The sequence below is a fragment of the Homo sapiens genome, chromosome 6, assembly GCF_000001405.40.
Source record: "Homo sapiens chromosome 6, GRCh38.p14 Primary Assembly".
Lineage (NCBI taxonomy): Eukaryota > Metazoa > Chordata > Mammalia > Primates > Hominidae > Homo > Homo sapiens.
The window spans coordinates 83676110-83695632 of NC_000006.12; the positions used below are offsets into that span (position 1 = coordinate 83676110).

Genomic DNA, 19523 nt, shown 5'->3' on the forward strand with positions numbered 1-19523 from the left:
CAAAAAAAAAAAAAAAGAATGTGACATACTTTGTTGATTAATATATTAATTCATTAACACATTTTTATTTAGTGCCTGCTATGTGCCAGGCACTGTTCTATCTATCATCTAGATATAATAGCAGTGAACAAAACAGACAGTGTCTGCCTTCATGGAGCACACATTCTAATGGAGGAAACACGCAGACAACTAGACATACAATGTCGAGCACAGATAATGTTATGAAAAATAAAAAAGTAAGAAGAGAAATAGATAGAGGATACTGCTTCAGATAGGGTGATCAGAAAAGGCCTCCCCAAGGAAATGAAATTTAAAGTGGTCTAAATGTAGTGAGAAAGCCAGCGATTCAGTCATCTTGGGAAGGAACATTCCAGGCAGAGGAAAGCAGCAAAAGCAAAGGTCCTAAGGCAAGGGCATGCCTGATGGATTCAAGAAAGAACCAGAAAGCCAGTGTGACTGGAGAAGAGCAAGCAAGGGACGGAGTGGTGGACAGAGAACTGACCAGGTTCCAGACAACTCTGTGCATTATAGCATTATAGGTCACAGAAGGGACTTGATATTTCATTCAAAATGTAATGGGAAGCTGCTAGAGGGTTTTGGTCAGGGGAGTATTGTGAGTCAAGTTTTATTTTGAAGAATTACTATGGTGGCTATATGGAGCAAAGACTGGGTGAGGAAAGGGGAGTCAGGGAGACAAATAAAAGAGGTTATTTTAATAGTTCAGGTGAGTGGTGTTAATGAGCTTATATTAGTGTGGCAATGGGATAGAAGCAGGAAAACAAAAGGTAGGATTCTGGATATTCCAAAGGCAGAGCCAAGAGGAATAGCTGATAGATTTGATGTGGGAAAGAGGACATTAGATACCAAAAGGAACAAAGAATGATAAGCTTGCAGCCCCTGAACAACTGGACAAAATACCTCTTGTACACTCTCTGGAAAAAGGAAAGAAAAACACTGTAGGTGAGCCGTGCTTGTATCTAGTTCATGTTTCTCTTTCCACCCACTTCCACCTAGTTGTCACTCTCTTCCTTGACTTCATTCCCAACCACAGGAGACCCCATGCCTTGTGCAATGTTTGAGACACATCCAAAGGGATGTCTACTTTCTACAGAGCAGGTAAGGGGGTACCCTCAGAGTTATGTCAGTCATTTCAGAATCACTGGCAAGCTATACCCCAAAATGCTCTCAATGTAGACCAGTCTGAGGTACAGGCATCAGCAACACTTCAAAATGAACATTATAAATTACTGATTATGATTCTTCTGACCAGTTAGAGTAGAGGAGATAATGACCATGAATGTAACACCATGAACTCACAGAGCTCCAAAGAGCCAGCAAAATTTCCAACCATGTGCATGAGTCTGAAACTAGGGCCATGCACCACTATTACTTCAGAAGGGGATGGTGGAGAGAAGCTGCCCGTGTGCCAAATATTGTCAATCCTTAGGGTAGTAGAAAATTATTTAGACAAAAATTGGAAATTTATATTTTTGTCTTTTAGGGTTTGTGCACAGCTTGTTGTGGCATTAACAATGTGACCTTAAGCATGTAATTCAATTTCCTTATCCTACAGTTTTCTGTGAGGTAGAAATAATACATGCATGCCAGCTGTAATACTACATTGCTTTTATATTTTATCCTCTTTTGAGTGTTTTCTTATAAATTGTCATGGGATTCTCAAAAGAACTCTGTGCTTTAAGAATCAGAAATTTACAGGAATAGAACTTTAAAAGGATAAGTAAAAACACAGATCATTCTATAGAGGTGGAAGATGACCATTTGTAACAGACTACTGAAACAGAAGATCTTGGTGTTCTGGGCAATCCACAAAGAATCTCAAGCCAGTTCTCTAAGCTGGCAGTAATTGCTGGAAGGATGGCCTTTGCTGACTTTGTTGCTAGGGAGATTTTAGAAGATATGAGCAGCTTGGGTTACTGATTTCCTGCTACTGCCACACAATGATCAATTACCATGTCTAGTCTTCAAGTATGTCAGGTAAATTAACACATGTCCTATTTACATGACAGCCTTGAGGTTTTTTTCTTTTTCAAAGAATCTTGAACTAAAAGTAAACTTCAGGAGTTTACATTCAAATTATCTCCAAAACAGTATTTTAGGTGTCTCTAGAGAAGAATTTACCATATTGGTTAACTTACCATCTCCCAACACCGATTGACCAGCCCTGAACATCTTTTAAAAATATCTAACCCTCATGCTCTAACCACAACCCATCACTTCCTACTCTATCCTCAGAAAAGAATAGCTATTTTATCCTTATTTAACTCCTTATATTCAATACTTCCTGGTAGAGTGCTCTCGAGCCATAAAAAAAACAGCGTTTCATAAATGGGACTCAAAAAGCAGACACAAGGCATCAGTTTTCTGTTCCAATCAAGCTGCCTACCCACACACGTGAAACTTATGTTTCCTAAAAATAAATAGTTCAGAAATGGCAACTGCTGCTGCAGGCATTTGGGACTTTTCTCCTTTGCTGTATCTATAACCTAATCTCTAAGATGTCTCTCAAATTCTTTTCTATTTTTCATTCCAAGGTTATCACAGCACTGGATCTAACCTTCTACCTTCCACTCCTGCTCCTCCCCTATTGAGAATCCTTGGCACCATCTCCCAGCATTATCCCACCTCTTTGGCCTTACCAAAGCCTTACTGTTATTATTCTTGAACGCCCTCATCTTACTTCCTAGGAGGAATCATCCAATAAAAATCCAAGTCTGTTTTCTCTCGGAAGTACCAAGGAATACAACTTTAGTTCTCAGTACATCATTTTACTTTACTGCAGGATTTAAGTAAAAAGAAAGAAATAATATCTAAGTGAAATGAAAAAAAAAAATACAGCTGGCCTTCTATATCCACAAGGTCCACATCCTCAGATTCAACCAAACTCAGATGGAAAATATTTGAAAAGAAAACCACCACACACACACACAAAATACAACAATTAAAAAAATACAAATAGAAAACCAATATAGGATAACAACTATCTATATAGCATTCCCATTGTATTAGGTATTATAAGTAATCCAGGGATGACTTAAAGCACACAGGAGAATGTTCACAGGTTATATGGAAACACTACATTTTATATCAGGGACTTGAGCTTCCACGGGATTTGGTATCCACAGGGAGTCCTGGAATCAATCCACCATAGATACTCAGGGACACCTGAATTTAAGCTTCCCCTCCATAAATATCCTTAATTCCTAGGGGAAAAAAAGAAAAGGGAAACTAGTTTTTTAAAAAATGGTTTTTACACTTCTTTAAAAACACTGAAGAGAAGTTGCTGAGACTACATTTGCTGATAAGTAAATTGTGGGGAGAAATGAAGACTGGGCAGAAATTTAGAAATAAAAGTCGACAGCAGCAGAAAGGCAAATTTTTCAGTAGGTCTACCCCTGAAGCCCCAGGCCCCATCCCTATCTCTTCTTTTTCTACAAGGCCCTGCACATCTGAGATCCTTGACCAGGCCAACCCGTTCCATTCTCTTCTATCCAACAGGTAGAAAAATGAATGAAGTTCCTACTTCCACTATAGCTTGGGGTCGCGAGGAAAGATCTTTCTGACACCCCCAAATAGAACTTTATGTTTTTAATCCTTAAAACACTGTAACAACGATTAGTTTCTTCAAGTAGTTCAGCCCTAGGCTTCAATGCACTTCAAGCTTGGAGAGCTACCTGGAGAACTTAAATATTAATCAGAATATAGTTCTAGAATAAAGTGATTTCTAAGATTTAAAAAGCTTCAGTGTTCACAATCAGCAACACAAAATTATATACTACTCATGTCCACTTACATTTTTTTTTCAAAAAGTTAACCTAAATGAAAATACAGCTATCTTTCCCATAGCACAGATAATGCTTCATATACTCAATTATTAACAGCTCTTTATAAGGACACCTCTTAATATCTCTTTATAGCTCTCAGAGCTAAAAGCAACTCAGTCAAATATATTTACAGAACCTTCTGGGTCACCCAGATAATTTATGCCAAATAAAAGGCTAGACCTCTCTCAATCAAGTTTAAAAATTTAGGATTAAAGAGTTTATCATATTACTTCCCCCCCATTCATACCTATACCACTATTTGTACCCGAAAATGTTACCCAACTCAGTAACCATAGTAGTAGACACATCAATTATTCAATTCAAAAGGAATAAGTAAGGTTTTAAATTTTTACTTTCTGTATGGCAACGTCCCTCTTACCCTATTCTATAACTTCTGTTCTTGTTTTCATTTCCTTTCATTCAAGCAGTAGAAAAAATTTGGCACTGTCACATTCCATCGAAAACTCACTCTCTGATGACCCAACTCTTTTTTAAAACTATCCAAATCTAAGTGCTCTGAGCATGTTCACCAGACAGGCAGCTTCACAACTGTAGGATATTTAGGCAATCTGTTTTATTCTATTATATCTTCTCCAAACTTAATTCTTCTTAGTTCTGCCCTTCTCTTTATAAATTTTGCATACCACTAAAAAGGATGATATACAAGTTTGCGGGTATTTTCTTGAGTTCTCTAGTGCTCAGTCTAGAACAAGTTTCTTAGCCTTGGCACTACTGATATTTTGGGCCAGAAAATTCTTCATTATGAGGGGATGTCTTGTGTATTGAGGATGTTTAGCAGCATCCCTAACCACCACCCACAAGATGCCAATAGAATCCCCCTTCCCTCCAAGACAATCAAAAGCATGTCCAGACATTGTTGTAGACTGTTGAGAACTGTTTGCCTACAGTAAGAATTTGGAGATCTCAGGGATTGAAGTTGGGCTGCAGTAGGACCCCGGGGAAACTGTCCCAGCTTGTGATCAATACTTACCTAGTTTTGGTTGTGGCCAAATGACCATGCTGCATGAGTAACAGTCTGTAAGAACCTAATATGTGTGCATAGTGCTTACAATTATAACCAAAAAAAGATTTACAGAAAAGGGACTCTCACACATAATCAAGCATAGGAGTCCCTAGCTTTTGAAGGGGTTATGATTCAAAAGTATATCTTAGAATCACTAGGTTGAATTATATGAAATTACCTTTTTTGTCAGTCAAAAATGGTTAACACCATCAGCAATTTTATATAACTCAACCTAATAATTTCTGAAGCAATTGTAGGTTCCCACAAAATCCTATCAAACTTTCCTATCCTGGCTGCCTCCTTCTCCTAAGGTCCCCAGATAGCATTGGCCTGAACTTTGATTTTCACCAGGAGCAGTCACTGCTTCTGAGGAGGTTTTCTATCTCTCTAGGCCCTGTGGAACAACACACACAACCTCAGAGCTTTTCTAAAGCCCTGCTGTCCAAAGAGAAAGATGTCTATTTCCTACATTTCTCTTCAACTCTTTTCCTTCATTTGTTTAGATCCTCAAGATAAAGACCAATGGTACATATACAAAAATCCACAGAAGATTCATCTATAGTTTACAACATGACAAAGATTACTAGCCAGCTCAGAAAAAAAAAGTTAGAAAACATCAAGGGAAAAACAAGCAAGAAAAAGAAAAGAACTGTATTTACTGGAGGTACAGAATACTATAAAATATAGGTAACTAAAGGGATGTATACTTTGAGCAGCAGTGCTCTATGAGAGCAAGGGTTGAGAGAGAAAGAGAGATGAGAGGGGTATCTGTCAATCAATATCAACTCTGGACATAATAAGCTGTATAAAAGATGACCAATCTTGGTCTACCATTCCCCCAAGTGTTCTAGAATGACAAATGGTGGCAAAAATCCTGGACTGAAAAACAGTTTAAACTCCATATTAGGTTAAATTTGAAACTATGGGTCACAGAGGACCCATTATCAAGTAACAGAATGGGGAGCAATAAGCACACAGCAATGTTTCTTTAAGTCACAGGTTAATGAAAGCTTCCTTGAATTCTACTGATACCCTCTGGACCTCACTTCCATTTGGTGACATGATGGTCCACTGTTTTCTCTCTCCAATCCTGGAGAAAAAAAGAGTCCTTCCTCCTTCCTAAGGCCACACCATATTCTGGGCTCTCATTCCTGCAGCAGGCTTTCTTCTGTCTACTCTGTCATTATTCTTTAATTCTTTTTTTTTTTTTTTTTTTCCTTGAGACAGGGTCTCGCTCTGTTGTGCAGGCTGGAGTACGGTGGTACAATCATGGCTCACTGAAGCCTCAACCTCTTGGGCTCAAGAGATCCTCCGACCTTAGCTTCCAACTGAGTAGCTGGGACCACAGACACATGCCACCACACCTAGCTAATTTTTGTGTTTTTGTTTGTGTGTTTGTTGTTTGTTTGTTTGTAGAGATGGAGTTTCGCCATGTTGCCCAAGCTGGTCTTGAACTCCTGGGCTCAAGCAATCTGCCTACCTCAGCCTCCCAAAGTGCTGGGATTATAGGCTTGAGCCACTGCACCTGGCCTATCTCTTTATTTCTTTATTCTTTCTATTATACCCTGTCCACTGTATCTTCTAAGTATATATTTTTTTAAATTTTTTTATTTTATTATTATTATACTTTAAGTTTTAGGGTACATGTGCACAACGTGCAGGTTAGTTACATATGTATACATGTGCCATGCTGGTGTGCTGCACCCATTAACTCGTCATTTAGCATTAGGTATATCTCCTAATGGTATCCCTCCGCCCTCCCCGCACCCCACAACAGTCCCCAGAGTGTGATGTTCCCCTTCCTGTGTCCATGTGTTCTCATTGTTCAATTCCCTTTAAATTAGCCTTTTTTTTTGAGGAAAAGGAAACATAAGATCCCTCTCTTATGCCTGTATTATACTCTAGATTCCCTAATCTCACACCTTCTCTTTGTCTCCATTTCTTCACTCAAGACTTGGGACATCATTATAACCAGCTAGCCTCTGGAAGCCTCTACCATATGACCATCATCCCCATCATGCTTCCTAATCTCCTCCAGGGTCAGCTGTGTCCTCTAAAATGCCAAAACCAATGGGCACTCTCCAGTTTCCACCCTATTCTGTGTGTCAATCCTGACCTAGTTTTTAAAAGTCATATTTCCTGGGATTTGGGAAAACCACCCTTTTCTGGCCTTTTTCTTATCTCTGTCTTTCCTTCTCAGCCTTCATTACTGGCCCTTCCTTCTTCCCCCAATCTCTTAAATAATGGGTGTGCCTAAGATGATTTCCTCAGTCCTCTTCTGTTCTTAGTCAAGACTCTCTTAGTAAGTGATACAGTTTTGATATTTCTTCTCTCCAACTATCATGTTGAAATTTGATCTCCAATGTTGGAGGTCGGGCCTAATGGAAGGTGTTTGGGCCTTGCGGGTGGATCACTCGTGAATGGTTTGGTGCTGTCCTCACGGTAATGAGTTAATTCTTTCTCTATTAGTTAATGGGAGATCTGATTGTTAAAAAGAGCCTGGCATCTCCTCCTCTCTCTTGCTCCCTCTCTTGCCATGTGACATGCCTGCTCCCCCTTTGCCTTCTACCACAAGTAAATGCTTCCAGAGGTCCCGACCAGAAGCAGGTGCTGGCGCCACACTTCTTGTACAACCTGCAGAACCATGAGTCAAATAAACTTCTTTTCTTTATAAATCATCCAGCCTCAGGTATTCCTTGATAGTAACACAAAATGGACTAACACATTAATCAATCTCTTCCATGCCCATACTTCTAGTAGACCTGGATAGTCTAAGATGGATCAGTAAGACAAAAATGGAAATCATTACCTTCTTTTCAAACCGACTTTGCCTAGCTCAGATAATGGTACCACCATCCACAAAGGCCCCTTGGCTTTCTAGCTCAGCATCATCCTTGTCTTCTTTCTTGTTTTCCACGTTCAGTCAACCACCACACCACACAGATACTACCTCCTACAAATCTCTGGAACAGTTTCCCTGCTCTGTGTTAATAATCTTCGAACTATCTTCTGTGAGGATCACTATCACAATTGCCTCATACCTTTGTTTCCCTGCCATTTTTCTCCTTCTATTTTTAATCAGCTCTCAAAAGTATAGTTCTAAATACAAATGCGATTATGTCTGATGAAATGAATAGTTTCATACAATCTAGTCCCCTTCAACCTGGGTTTCCCAATACCCTAAAGCAGTCATTATATGTAAGAAGTTAACTTCTCTTTCATGCATCTGGACTGGCATTAAATACCATCATTGAAAAAATTAAGAAAATATTCACTCAAATCATGCTCTGAATTCTATGGTTCAGATGAGGAACATGGGTTGGGAAAGGCTGACACAGACCTCCTGCCACCCACCTTCCATTACTTCCTGCTACTTCTTCACATACAACACACAACCTGCTTGCAAACAAGAACCCCCATGCTCTTTCACAACTGTATGTGTTTGCATACGCTATTCCCCTGGCCTGGCATTTTCTTCTTCCACCTGTCCATGAGTGGGCTCCAATTCATCCTAGATGCTCATATAATACCTTCTTTGCAAGCTTCCTTGGACCTTGCCAAACAAAGTCCTTTTTGTCACACTCTGTATACACCTTTATAGCTCATCTCACAATATCATGAAGATTTATTCACATATCTGTGCACTTTACTAGAATGCAAGCTTTGCTTCACCAGCAAAATTCCTGAAATATAGTGGATATGAAACAAGTCTTTTTTGAGAGAACCATAATAAATGCTCCTTTTTCCTTATCTTAAAAACCTGTAATAGTTGCTCCAAGTCTTGGAGCTCTGTTATTTTTTAAAAAATCAGAAACTATTTAATATCACATTGACATTAATCACAGTTACAAGAAACCCTAGAACCATGCTGCAATGACTCCACTTTTTCAAAAGAACAGATGGAGGGAGAAAGCCATGACAATTATTCTTAAAATGAGTTACAACACCAAGATCTGTGCCTCTTTCCTAGAAGATAACCAACAAGTAGCAAAAAAGGGAGGAGAATATTCAATATAGGCACAGACCTTGTTAAAATTCTCTTTAAAGAACATACTCCTTTATGGATCTAAGTTCCTGTTAGAAAAAGAAGCAAAACTTGTCCCTCAGTGTCTAAACAAGACAAGAATTATGATTGGATACCACAGTCCCAGTATTTATGCTTTAAGAAAGTTAAAGGAATGGTCAGAATATACCCCATGTTAACACAGTTGCCAGGTCACACCCTCAGAGTATAATTGCTGGCTGGGGAAAACTCCCTCTGTGCCACCCATAAATATAGCAACACCTGACAGTTCAGGGGTCCAGGCCTCCTTCCATAATGGAAAAAATCCTGCTTCTGGCAAAAAGCTAGAAGTAGCAGGAACAATGCCTGCTGTGTTGTTTGGCACAGACTAAGAGAGAAAAATAAGGAAATAATAAATACTTCGGCTTTCCTTGTCAGAAAACATCCATCCCATTGTCATTAAAAATAATTAAAGTTAGGAAAACATAAGAATAATCACTAATTTCAGCAGGTTGTAAGACTATAACACACTGTTTAATTTCTTCTTTAATAATTCTATGGGGCAAAACTAGGGTATGAACCTCTGTTATCTTTGACCCTTGCCTTTTCCTATGTTGACACCATACTAAGTGGTATGAACTTCTTCATGTCTTCAACTCTAACCTTTTCCCTATAACCACCTCCTACCAACCTTGCAGAACCTGCTTCGGGACTTCTAAGACAGTCTATCAAGTAGATCTCCCATCTCTCCAATCCTTTGTGCATTAAACAAAACTGAGGTTCTCAAAACAACTCTTTGAGCTGATCATTCTTTTGCTCCAGATAATTTCAATAGCCAATCACCTACAAAGAAAATCCAGTCATCTTTATCTCACATTCAACGCTCTACCGAATGCATTCCCATATCTGTGCTTCCATCTTTTTAAAAAAATAGGTCTTTTTTTTTCACCTTTAACATATTACCCAATTGACTTACCTTTTTGTTTATTTCTTTTTGATTCTCTTATCCTTACCTCACATGTAAGCTCTACAAGGAAAGCATTTTCAGCTGTTTGGTTCATTAAGGTACCCCAAGCGTCTAGACCAGTAGATGCACAGTAGACACTGATTAAATGTTTGTTGTGAACCTGGAACATACTCTGCTTTTACCTCAGTTGCTTAAATTCTAGCCTTCCTTAATATCCCACAATCAACACTGTTTTTTGTTTTTTCTTGTCTTTTACTTGAGTTCTTCCTGCACCGGGCCTGCAAAACATACGAAATTAGATGAACCCTCACAGGTAATAGTTGGTTACTCAGTTAAGCACTATTTTGGTGACATGGAATGCTCATCTGAATAAGCTGATAATATTTATATAACTCTCAATAAAATTCACTACTTAGTTTTTTAAGAGTTACTGGCTACAGAGGTATTTAACAACAAATCAAGGGTAGAGTGTAAGGAGTTTTATTCAAATTTAAACATTAAGGAAGAGTCTCTTTTGTTCAAAGCACTTATAAAGATTTGTGCTTTAAACTGTGGCTAGTAGGTCTTTGGTGACTAATTCAGCTAATAAATTACTGAAATTTAGGGCCCAATTTGGGCCCAGGCCACTATATGGGAAAATAATCACTTTCATACTTTTATATTATCTAGTGCTTTAGGTGGCTCAGCTAAATTTCAAGTGTAATACACAGCAGCTTAAACATCTTTTATGCCAATGATTATATCCATTTGGATTAACAGAATGATTCAATGGATGACACTAAATTTACCAATTCTAATTTCAATTAGTAGACCATAATCAAACTTTTCTTTACTGCTGTTTCCCATGAGAGTACAACTGAGGAAGGACAAGATGAATGCCAACTTCTATAAAGCCTATTAGGAAAAAAGAGAGGCACTGTTACCAGTGTGTTAACTGTACACTCTTGCTAATTAACAATAATGCCTTTTTGTGTTGATGGGCCTGAAAGTTATGCTACTTAGGTTTTGGTTTTCTTGGATAATAATTTTTATATAAAAATGTAAGTCCTTCATAAAGCTCAAGTTTATTAAGTTTTGGTACTGAGAAATGGACATAATACAGGACTTAACATGACTTATTTGATTACAGTTAGCCAGGTACCCTATGCTTCATGCAACCTAGCTGTTAACCCTTTAGCCTGCTGATAATCTCATACTTGGGTTTGATGAGTTCTTGTAATATAGATAGAGTGAGGTGTTCAGGAGGATTTGTGGTAAAATATCAGTCACTTCAAATGAACTTATGCTTACTGTATGGTTTTAGTTATTCTTACCTAATACGGCGAAAATGAAAATATTGTTTTAAGAAAAAATTGGCAGCAAATTATTTCATGTCCTTCAGGATATAAGAATAATAATATCCTACATGGGCCATATGTTTGTGATGAAATTCACCTGAAATTCAACTAAAATATAAGTGGTTTAGAATTTCTAAACTATACTTGTATCACGGTGTGTCCAAGAACTTAAAAATAATTAATAATATGATTTTCTTTTTACATATATTCCTTTTTCTCCCTCTCCAGTGTAAGCTCATCTCGGGCAGAGGCCACTTCACTCATTCACTTATCCAGATATTTGGGAAGGCCATTATAAACCCTTTGAAAGTTTGGCTGAGTGAAATGGGGGTTACTAGCATAGCAGTGCCATGGCTGGAAATATGTTTGAAAGGATTACTCCAACTACTGTGTTAAGAGTACTTTGTTGGGAACGGGAGAAGGACAGAAGCAGAATCAGGCAGCCATCACAGTCGTCCTGGTAAGAGATGATGAAAACTGGGACTAGCAGGGGCAGAGGAGATTGTAGGATTTATATTTATTTTGTAGACAGGTAGAGCCAACTAATTTTCCTGACTGACTGAAGGAAATGGGGGTAGGAGAGAAATAAAGGAGTCAAGCAACTTCAAAATTTTGGCTTGAGCAACTGAATAGATGCAGTTGTTATCTACCGAGAGGTGGATGACTGAGATAAGATAGGTTGAGGGACGTGGAAGACACGGGTTCAATCCTGGATGTGTTGAGCGTGAGATATCTAAAAATATTTTCAAACCCATGGAGGTTGACTCCATTATGGGCCAAGATTAAAATATAGGTTTCTCTGGTCTCTTATCTCTCCCCCTTACATTTCATATATGACCCCATAGCCTCTGCATCAGAATTTCCTTTCAAATCTAGTCTCTCCATTTTATTCCCTTGGTTATTTCCTTATTCAGGCTCTTATTCTCACTTGACTCACCCTAATATCTTTTTATCTAGTCTCCTTTTGCTCTAATGAAGCCATCTTCTACATAACCAGTGTATATTTGTAAAACATAAAAGTAATAATGGAACTCTACTGTTTGAAACTCTGCATTGGCTTCTCACTGCTTAATAAAATAAAACTTAGGGCTGACATCAGTGATTCTTTCTACAAAGCCCCAACCTTCCTTTCTTTTTACTGTATACAAAATATGCCATGTCTAGTCATGCTTCTTTGTCTGGAAAACTCCTATTTGTCCCTCAATACTCAGCCAAACATCACTTTTTTTTTTTTTTTTTTGAGATTGAGTCTTGCTCTGTTGCCAGGCTGGAGTGCAGTGGTGCAGTCTCGGCTCACTGCAGCCGCCACATCCCAGGTTCAAGCGATTCTCCTGCCTCAGCCTCCTGAGGAGCTGGGACTACAGACATATGTTATCACACCCAGCTAAATTTTTTTATTTTTGGTAGAGACGGGGTTTCACCATGTTGGCCAGGATGGCTTTGATCTCTTGACCTTGTGATCCACCCACTTCAGCCTCCCAAAGTGAACATCACCATTTCTAAAAAGCCTTTCCTGACTATCTTCAGGCAAAATTTGCCATTTCCACTTCTGTGCTTTCAAAACATATCAGTCATACCACCACGATAGCACTTATAATGGCATGTTATTATTAGTTTGCTTATATGTCTCTGCTATAAGGCTCCCACTAGAGGCTGCCGTGTCTTTTCTGTTTTCCTACATCATCTCACTAAGTGGTAAGTTCGTGCAAGACCCTCTGCTTACCTATACCCCCAACCCCCAGTGAAATTAAGTGTTGCTTAGAAGTAGCAAGGGTGTCTATGCTCTAAGATCTTTCGCCATCAGGTGTGCCACCCATCATGGCTCAGAGTGGGGCTTAGGAAACCTTCTGCTATCCCATCTGCAACATTAGGGACAAAGACATTTAGGACCACCCAAAGAAAGGGAAGCTGGTGGCAGGCCAAAACAGCTTGATAACAGAGCAGCCATTATGATTCGTGAACTGTCAGCTATCTCTTTATACTTGAGTATACTGAGGTCTTTATAACATGTCTATGAGACTACATAGCACAGTTTTCAAACTGTCATCCAATTAATCCCTCAAAATTAAAAATTCTGTTTTTGTTTTCATAACAAATTATAAAATCATAAAAGCAAGAAAACTAACACCTAGGAGAATATACTATGGTCTCTAGTAAAAATTAGTTGAATATAGCTATGACAAATGAAATTTAATATATTTTACTCATACAAAAAAAGGTAAAAAGTGGTAGACTACTAGTAAAAATGAACACAAGATAAGCACTAAAAATGAAAACCTCCAAATAACTTTGAGATAAATATAAAAATACCTAGTAAAAATTAATTCAAATTCAGTATGATGGTGCTCCCTTCATTCCATAATCTAAGTACAAAAATCAAAAGAGAAGACAGTAAAGAAAAGAATGAGGACACGCATTTAGAAAAAAATTCATTAAATAATTTTTGACATCACTCCTCAAAGATTGTGAATATGGTAATATCCTTATAATTTTCTATTAATCCATGCCAAAAATTTGTTTCCAAACATTTTATTTCTTCATGTTAGCAGTCTTGCATTCCTTTCTTTTCTATCTTACACATTCTATTTTGACATTTAACTCTTTACCTTTTTCTCAAGATATAAAATTTCATCTTAAGTATATTACTATAATTGTCTCATTTTTTCCTTTTATTTCCTTTCTATTTCTCATCATTTACTTTTTCTCATTTTATAAATTAAAACATTTTTACTAATCTTGATTTTTTCCTATTCGACCCTTTTGCTGAACAATGAGTTAAAATCTTGTTTGCATTTTTGTTGAATATAAAAATCCTCTCAAGTAAATTTGTATAAACACAGGATAAAAGTGAGCATCACATTTGAGAGTTTTCCTAATGATTATGGTTACGAAAGCAATAACTTAATTTGAATATTTGAATTTTTTTCAGGGAATACTTACTAATACTACTATGATGAACAAATCTCTTCTTGAGAAATAAATAATACTGTGATCCAAAACAAATGTAACATATTTCTGAAGTATTTCTCCTTTAGCACAACTTTTTAAAAGACTTGTGATCTCCTCATACTTTGGTTGTATGACTCAAAAGATGCTGGAACATACTTTCAGATCTCAAAATTAGGAAGCACTTGTTGAAAGAAGGTTTGTAGGTCTACGAAAACAATGCAGCTCAGTTACACATTAATAAGAAAATACTCAACTCTCTGCTAAAGCAACAGATACATTGAACAAGCGTTTTGTTTGGTTGGTTATATCCATTTTGACTAACGTACCTCTAAAGAAAGAGAAAGCCTACTAAAATCGGATGCATTTCCATAGGAATAAATTTTGAAACAGGAATAATGAATCTTTAGCTCACAAGAGAGAGGTAAGTCTTATAATGGGCAATTTCTGCTTGTATATCTCATGCTCTAGGACCTTTCAATTTTTAACTCTTCACATATAAGAAAAATGAGATGGGCAGTATTAGATTAGCTCCTATACTAAATAGCAGTCTAAAAATTATTACTTAATTAGTGTAAGAAAGGCATATTTTTAAGGACTTTCAAAAAATATAAGGAAAATTAGTTAAACTACACTATAACACCATTTTAGATAAGATATGCAAAATTTGGTATACATAATCACACTATGATGTAGAAATTGCTAATATTGAATTTCTTATGCATTTCAAGTCTAATGCTTTGCTACTGATGAAGTTTAACTCAAAAATGGTACCTCTAAGTCAAGGTAGACATTTGCCCTTTTCACACTCTTAAATAGAGCCTGGCTAATTGTAGCAATTTTAGGAAATACATAACAACACATATGAAATGTTTAAAAATAAGATAGCTCTTAATGATGACCTACTTAAGATTTTGACAAGCTCTATGAATTATAACCTCCCTAAAATTATATTGTACCTGGTAAATTAGTTTATTAAATGTTATAAATTCTTAACCACAATTACATAGCTTACTGTTAGCTATAAGGACTAAACTCTTAAATGTAAAATTTAAAATGATTAAATTATCCACTAACAGTTCTTCAAAACATCTTCAATCCAAACAATGAATATCAGTAACCTTATTTACTAACTAAATTCTGTTATATGGTTCTACTCAGTCTTGTCTGCCTTTTCATTAGTACTAAAATGGTCAAAGTCCAAATATATTTCACTGTTAGTATATACAATGTATATCGAGATTCACCACAACTACTGATGGTCATTTTCTAATTAACTTCCCTACTAGATCAACTCTTTTTCTAAATATTTTACAAATTGTTCCTCAATGGCAATTTATTAGTGCTCAATGCAAATATATTTAGTGTCTCCTTGTTGGCATTTACGTCTTCAGCTCCAACCTAAGAATAGTATACGATGCTGACCACGAAGAACCCAGGCCCAATAATAAAGTCACTCCATATATGTTTTTCTTTATTGCTTTCCATGTATCTGAAATACTTCAATGGACAACCACCATTATTTTCTTAAAGAAGCAATAATCTTCGTTAACAAAAACCTAAATATTTGAAAAGTGTAAAGTAATATCTAAAAAATGCTAAGTCCAAACCTATCAAGTCTCAACAATCTATACTAATAAAGGAAAGCCATAACAGACACTCCAAAGTCATTTTTATTTGATTTTAGGAGATGATTTTAATAAAGTATAAGTTATATTTTGATAATTACAACATTTATCAACAAATAAATTATGAAACAGTACAGTGAAGGCATAATTGCCCCATTCTGTACTCTTATCTTCCTAGAATAAACTATCATCTCTCAAGCAGATGTCAGAGATAAGCCCAGAGCAGCTGAGGGTGAGCTCTTTGTACATATCTATTCTGCTTACAGTATTGAAAGATACCTATGAAAAGAACTATTAGATTCTGAAAGGCTCTTTCCTCTAATAACGATAATTTATAGAGTAATTAAAGATTGAAGTTTGTTGTTGCTGTTACTGCCATTTTTAACAAATGTACTCGCCTGTAATGCTAGGACTTTGGGAGGCCAAGGTGGGTAGATCACTTGAGGTCAAGAGTTCAAGACCAGCCTGGCCAACATGGCAAAACCCCATCTCTACTAAAAATACAAAAATTAGCTAGGCGTGGTAGAGCGCACCTGTAATCGCAGGTACTCAGGAGGTTGAGGCAGAAGAATCCCTTGAACCTGGGAGGCAGAGGTTACAGTGAGCTGAGATCTCACCATTGCACTCCAGCCTGGGCAAGATGGCGAGACTCTGTCTCAAAAAAAAAAAATTACCTATTTAAATGTTACCATAACCCCATGATGCCTTATAAAAGAGGAGATTGAGGTCTAAAGAAATTAAATTAATGTAGCTAAGATCACAGGCAGAAAGCAGCAGAGCCTGGAATTACACTAAGCACTCTGATCACAAATCAGTGCCCTTTCTGCTGTACCTTCCACCACCCCCAAGGTCCTTAATTAACAAGCATGTTAAAATAAATGCTTCAGTAGCAAATCATCAAAAGACATAACTAATGAGGGGTGAGACTGGCTCAAGGACAGTCATTTGAACCCACCCCCTTCCACTTTTTTCCCTACTAGCTAGAGATGGGCCTTCACAGAGCTTTACCCATCTAGTTAATTAGCTATCTTTGGATCTCACCCCATTTTTCCTTCCCAAAACAATCATATGGTCATGTGGTGTGTTTTTGTTTTTTGTTTTTGAGACAGGGTCTCACTATGTTGCCCATGCTGGGTTTTAAACTACTAGGCTCCCTGTAGCTGGGATTACAAATGTGTACCACCACATTGGGCCTGATGTTTTAACTGTTTTTGTTTTTGCTTTTGATTATTGCTACCTGTGACACTAGAGACAGAGAACAAACAAAAATCACTATGTAAAAGAAAAAAGCATAAGTCTTGCAGTTAGGACCGCTGAAGAAATCCTGACTCCTCCCCTCATTAGGCGTGGGACCTTGGATAAATTCCTTAACCTCCTTGGGCATTGTTTTCCTCCTCTGTAAACTGGGAATAAGAGTATTTAACTAATGGGCTTTGTGAAGATGAAGTCAATCAGTCACATACATGGGCCAGGCACAGTAAGTGCTCCACACATCGGCCTCTCCTTCACTCTAAAGAGCGCCTTTATTTTTTCTTCACTTGAATCTTGTAGTGAATGAGAGACTGCTAATGTATCATACATCAAACAATTGAATAAAAAATTATTTTAAATTGAAAAAGAAACTATAATCATGTAGGTACCTAAGTGGCAACTCAAAGAAAATTTCTTGGGTACTAATATGCTTTGCATTAGATATATTTTAAGGCAACTGATTAATATCAGACGCGATGCTGGAAGAAAGTTTAAATATTAAATGCAAAATTCAAAATGTCTTTTCCCTGTCTCACAATAGCTATAACTGTCTCCACTAATGCAAAATGTAAAATCAAGAACAACTACCTTTTGCTATCAAGCAGAGAGGAAGAACTTCTCCCTAGGGCATAACAATACAAATCACTGAATTACTAGCTTATAAAGATAAGGCCACTGGCAGATGAATCCCAGCTTGGAACCATCCATGCTGAATGCCATTTCTGGGTCTATGTAAATCTAGTGAGCAGCTTGCTTTAGTATCCAGCATGGATAAATTGCCTAGACTAGGGATAGCAAGTCTATTTCATCTTAAGTGTCAACACTGATTGACAGTGACAATCTAAAGCACTGTATATGGATGCATTTTGAGGCAAAATCAAAGCTTTGCAGAAAAGAGTGCCAGGATTAATCTGCAATGTCTACCAAGAATGGAGGAATATGCAGTGAGTCCACTGACATAAAAGAAGTATTTTTAAGTTACAGATGAAAAAACTATAATCTAATTTCCTTTTCCATGGGCATGATAGAATGAATGCTGTGTATTCACATCCCATTTCCTTCTGCTCCTGGACTCACAACTAGGCTTCATCTCCAGCATTTCCTGCATTTGGATGAGGCCATTAATAGATTTCTTGCCAATGGAATACAGGTAGAAATGATATTTAGGCCTGGACCTACATCTTCTCTTGCAATACTCCCCTTTTTGTCTGTCTCCCTCTGTCAGCCAGATGCATAGATGACAGTGGAGGACTCTGAAGCTCTAGATGACAGAATTTCTAGAAAGGAGGAGCCATCCATGGCAGACCATGATACGAGCAAAAAATTAAGCTTGTAGCATGCCACTAGCTCCTGGTATTCCCAACAATGTAGTTCTGGTTGAGACTGACAATCATAATATCGTGCCATATACATGGGTCAACCATGACCTGTGCTAAGCAAATCAGAATTCTTCCCTATGATTTTGGAAAACTCTCTCTCTAGGAAGAGAACCCATTTCTCTCTGTGAGGCTATGATAATGTGAACCTGGGAGCTTTAGTTCAGAATCACTGAAAAAGTCTTCAAGAATGGAATAGGTACTTCACTACTAATGTGTGAAACAGAAACAAGCGAAACAGGGGGTGGAGGAAGAATCCTGAACAAGCACTAGAGAGGTCAAGCTTCACCCCTGCCTTTTCCTCATATTGGTTACAAGGGCCAAAATGCTTCTCTTTTTGCCAAAACTATTTTGATCTATGGTCCTGTAACCTGCCAACACAACAGTCATGACTAATACGGGTATAAATTAGAAAACAAAAATCTTTCAACTGACAGACAATATTTTGACATATATTCTTCCAAAATTATGGGCGTACACATACTTTAAAAAAACGAAAACTGTGGGGCCGGGTGCAATGGCTCATGCCTACAATCCCAATACTTTGGGAGGCCGAGGTGGGCGGATCACTTGAGGCCAGGAATTTGAGACCAGCCTGACCAACATGGTGAAACCCCATCTCTACTAAAAATAAAATAAAATAATTAGCTGGGTGTGTTGGCATGAGCCTCTAATCCTACCTACTAGGGAGGCTGAGAGAGGAGAATCACCAGAACCCAGGAGGCAGAGGTTGCAATGAACCGAGATTGAGCCACTGCACTCCAGCCTGGGTAACAGAGTGAGGCTCCATCTCAAAAAAAAAAAAAAAAAAAAAAAAGAGAAAAGAAAAAGAAAAAGAAAAGAAAAGAAAGAAAACTGTGATTTATGGATTTATGATCACACCTCATAAATTTTCTTTTCCATGTCAAATATACTTTAACAAGCTCATTTTTCAAGGTTGGCCAGTATCTTATTGTTTGAATACACTATCATTTTAAAAAAAGTATTTGGGTATATTCAATTTTGCATTCTCCTATATACATTGATGCAACAAATTTGGGGGAAACAAAACATTTTTCCAATTATTTACCTGATATAAAGCTGTAGAATTCAACTTGCTGGTCAAAGGATATTCAAGGGTTTTGATTAATATTGCCAACCCACCCTCCC

General features: G+C 37.4%; 1 protein-coding gene across 72 annotated transcripts in view; it reads right to left on the reverse strand.

The window, feature by feature from the left end:
* The window catches only part of SNAP91 (synaptosome associated protein 91), a 156509-nt gene that overhangs the window by 123225 nt on the left and 13761 nt on the right, over positions 1-19523 (reverse strand). Inside the window, exons 3-5 of one of the 72 annotated variants that reach the window (NM_001256717.2) lie at positions 14114-14327; positions 10019-10114; positions 2669-2794 (exon numbers count right to left, since the gene is read on the reverse strand). The exons of 69 other annotated variants lie outside the window; for them this stretch is intronic. In NM_001256717.2, coding sequence (NP_001243646.1) covers positions 2669-2693 — 25 coding nt within the window. In that variant the 5' untranslated portion in view covers positions 2694-2794; positions 10019-10114; positions 14114-14327. Of the gene's footprint in view, positions 1-2668; positions 2795-10018; positions 10115-14113; positions 14328-16280; positions 16399-19523 lie in introns of all 72 variants that reach the window. 2 more of the 72 variants (NM_001376720.1, NM_001376721.1) reach the window with 2 other exon arrangements.